Genomic DNA, 4,698 nt, shown 5'->3' on the forward strand with positions numbered 1-4,698 from the left:
ACTGTAGTTTATCAGTTTGGGCAGAAAATAAATAATTAAAATTTAATAAGGAATCTCAGGTGTATTTGTTTAAATGGACTATATATGTCCCATTTATGCATATATATGTATAATTATAAATATAAATATATATAGTTTGAAAAACATTTTTTCTAGCAAATTATGTTAGCAACTTTTTACAAAGAATAAAACAAGCAGTATTTATACACAGTTTGAATAATTTAGAATGGTCTTTTTATTTTATTTTTTGTAGAGATGGGGGTCTCATTATGTTGCCCAGGCTAGTCTCAAACTCCTGGGCTCAAGCCATCCTCCCACCTAGGCCTCTCAAAGTGAGTGCTTTAACTTATAATCTCTCAGCTTTTATTTGTCTCATTTAAAAAATATATTGATTTCTATTACATGTATTACTTAAAAAAAGAAATCAACAATTTAGACCAGGCTTTAATACCACATTTACTGAAAGATTTCCATATCATTGAAATCACTGGTGCTCTTTCTTTCCTCTAAACTGCTTAATCATTTGTTGCCTGCACACAGCATATTCTGCCTTCTATCACAATTATTGTCTTTTCTAGAATGTACACTCCTAGAAGCCATGAAACATGCCTTAAGTATTTTCTTAAAAGTCACAACCCCTAATGAGGTGTTTTAAGATGGTAGCAGCTCTGTATAGGTTTCTTGAGTGGACAATCCAATAAAAGTTTGGTTTAAAATGTTGTGTACTGTTTTTGTAAGGAAGATCAAGAAGATCAAATATAATTGTCAGTATACAGATAGCTGGTTGTGGTTGGGATACGATGAAAAATGATTACTTTTGTTCAAAAAGATCAAATTTAGTTTGGCTTTCTAGAAATGCCAAACTGCAAAAATTAAAGTATTGCATTTCTCCCAATCTTTTTATATATCCTTAAGCTTTACTTTCAAATTATTTCTGCAGCAGAAGAAAAAGTAAGAAACGTTCTGTAATTATAGTAATTTATACAGAGCATTTTGGTAAACAGAAGATCAACTTAAAATTAAACATTACTAATGTTTGCTTACATTTATATTTGCATATCCCATAATTTAATTATTTTAATATTTTATATTATTTTGTTATTCTTACCTTTAAAAACAAGTATTTGACCTTCAATTTAGAGAATAAGAAAAAAGCAAGCAACCAATGCATAGTCTTTCTGAATACACATTTTGAAATGGATATAAAATCGTAGTTCAATGATTCTATAAGTATTAATTTGTTCATTTATTCTTTCCTCCCTTCCTCTTGTCTTCTCTATTTCCTTTCTTTCTTATTTCTATTCTTACATAATGATTTAATCCAAATGCCATTAATTAAATCTGTACAAGGTAGACATCTGTGAAGGGAGCGGCAATGGAAGAGGATAATATTCACACAAGGAGTTATTGTTGGCAGCCTGGCATGTAATGTCAGAGCCTGAAAGAGTTTCAGAGCACAACCAAATGGGGATGGTGAGGGTGGAAGGAGAATGGAGTGGCAATGATGGCAATGGAAGTTTGGTTGCACATAGTGAGGCTTGATCATATATGTGTACTGTAAAAATAGAAAGCTAGGTGTAACGTTGAAAAAAGAAGTTACAAATAAGAAAGAGAAAATAACTACAATATACTGTGCTGCTATTGGATTGAAATTAGTATACTATTGTAAACTCATGGTTTTTAATGCACAGAGATAGATGTAGAAATATAGATGTATATGTATGGTGTGTGTGTGAGCATACATTCATATATTTTTCTAGCACTAAGAGGGTCTGAGAGCTACTAAATTACTATAGTAATGAACACAATTAGTGTCTATATCTTAGTTTCTAAATATCTTTCTCCATTAAAAGGAACCAAGACTCCTTGGATAAGTGGCTGATTCCAGAGGTATAGCAGATAAAGTATAAGGTAAGTCACAAAATTTGTGTCGGGCCAGAAGGAAATGCTTATATAATGAGGGGAATGTCAAAAGGACACAAATGCCACCTTGAAAGTGCTTCTATTGGCCAAAATCTGAGACAATTTGAGCATTTGCATAATTCATTATAGTAACAGGATATAACCTATTAGGTAAAACTATGCTAAAACATGCTAATATAGATGATAGGTTATTAGATTATTATATAGAGAGAGGAAGGTGGGGGAAGAAATGAGAAGAGAAAGCTTTGAAAGCTTTTTCTTATGGAAGAATGACAACTAATAGATATAGAAGAAATAATGAAGTTATTGGGACAGCCAATAAAATTGAATTACATTTATGGATTAAATTATAGTAATCTTAATTTGCTGATATTCATGCTAATTTTCTGATATAGTTTTTTATTACATAGAGAATTTCCTAATTCTTAAACTATGTATAAAATGATCGTAGTGATGAGCATCATGTCAACAATTTGTACTTAAATAATTTAGGATTTTAAAAAAATGTCCTTTGTGTTCTTCCTGCAATTTAACTGTAATTTATGTCAAAATTAAAAATTAAAAAATCAGTTTAAAATACCAAAAGTGAAAGGCTTTTTGCCTCAAAATCCATCTGGATTCCAAGGTAGCCATCTTTGAAAAATTATAATTTTCAGTACAAAGAAGGGTATTCTCACTGATCGAAGTGTTAATATGTCAGATACATGAAATATCATACATGTTTGATTTAGAAGCATTAGAACCTAGAATCCACTGTGTACCTGGTTGTTCAAATAATATTAATGATTTAGGCTGTTGTTAAATAAACAATTTGTGAATTTAACCATCACAAAAGTCAAGTGCAACACAAACGTCTGATAACCAAGCAATCTGCCTGGTTTGGTCATGGAGTTGCTAACTAACTAAAATTTATTTGATTTTACAGTCATCTTTATTCTTTAATTAGTTCAGTCATATAGCAATTGTCTGTTCTGTCAGACAAACTAGAAGTGTGAATCAATCACAAAATCTTCCACCTTCTCATTATATCTTAGACTCTATATTGAATTCATTACTTATTTATTGAATGGCTACTATATTCTTGATCATTTTCTAAGAACTCAGAATGTTAAAATAAATAAGGAATCTGCTTTCAAAGAGGTTATGGTTCCGCTGGGGAGACAAGTTTTACACAGATACCAAAAAAGTTTTGTCTACAGTTTTGTTCAGGAATTATGGATATAGCAGAAGTTCCAGTTTGATTCTATAATTTAGGATGTTTTTTAGCACTTTAATAGAACTGCTACAAAGAGACAAAAGGAATCAATTTCTGAGAGGGTCTTGGGAGTTGCCTAAGAAATACGAGAATGGATTTCATCTGTTTTGGGGGGAATTTTTATTTTGCTCTAATATTTGAGTTCTTGGTGGGAAGAAGGAAAGAAAGAAATAATATATAATATGGGTTTATCTAAATTTAGAATCCCGCAGTATACCCAGGTACTCATATCTGTGCTATAGGGAGACAAAGGCTACAACAAGATGCCAAGTGTGCTAATTTCATGTTGCTCGGTGGTCATGGGGACACAAGCAAGATGCACAAAAAAGTGGCACAACATGAGAGAGAGGAACCATCTTTCTTTTGTTGTTGTTGTTGTTGTTAAAAACAGCTAGGCTTTGATACATCCAAAATTCCTCACTCATAGTGCTTCTTTTCACTTCAACAGTTTGCTCTTTTCAACGTCATCAGGAGGCAGAACCCTTGGGATAGTCAGTGACGTTGTGATTTCATTCTCAATAGCCACGATGATGAGGTACCATGTTCAAGTGTTTTTGAGAGCAGGCCAGAATAAAAGAACACGAAAAGACTAACCTGAGATCACTTATGTAGCCCACGAGAATTAAAGCAGGAATGGAGCCAGGAAATCCTTCATTTTTCAATTGGGGGCATTGAAAGTTTTAAATGATGAGTTATTAATCGTAGTAGGATATTACCATAAATTACATAGATATATATATATGTGTGTGTGTGTGTGTATGTGTGTGTATATATATATGTGTGTGTGCTTGTGTGTATATCTGTGTTTATGTATCTACAATAGTTGAAAATAGTCTATAATCAAGACATTCTTCCTGTTATAAGCTCCATCTGAAGATAAGCTACATGTGCACTTAGGGGTGTGTGTGCGTGTGTGTGTGCGTGTGTGTGTGAATGTGTTTTCCACAATATTATTTGTAAAGCCAGTCTCCAATTCTTGATTCAGTTTGACTACATAGGTATGTCCATACTTCTTCTATTGCAATTATTGATAGATAAATATTTCAGTTACAGTTTCTTAGTTTATGTATTGATACAACCACGTCTGTTCTACAAATTGATGACATCCTTTGCTGAAAGTTCCCTAAAATGATTTATCTACTATGATTTTTTTCCTTTTTTATTTTTTATTTTTGTGGGTAAATGTTAGTTGTATATATTTATGGGATACATGAGATGTTTTGATACAGGCATGCAAAGTGAAATAAGCACACCATGGAGAAGGGAGTATCCATCCCCTCAAGCATTTATCCTTTGAGTTATACTTTTTATTTTAAAATGCAAAATTTAAGTTATTATTGACTATAATCACCCTGTTGTGCTATCAAATAGTATATCTTATTCATTCTTTCTATTCTTTTGTACCCACTAACCATTGCCAGCTCCTCCCCAGCCCCCTACTATCCTTTCCGGCCTATTGTAACCATCCTCCTACTCTCTATGTCCACGAGTTCAATTGTTTTCAGTTTTAGTTCACACAA

The sequence above is a fragment of the Homo sapiens genome, chromosome 1 (assembly GCF_000001405.40).
Source record: "Homo sapiens chromosome 1, GRCh38.p14 Primary Assembly".
In the NCBI taxonomy this organism is placed as follows: Eukaryota; Metazoa; Chordata; class Mammalia; order Primates; family Hominidae; genus Homo; species Homo sapiens.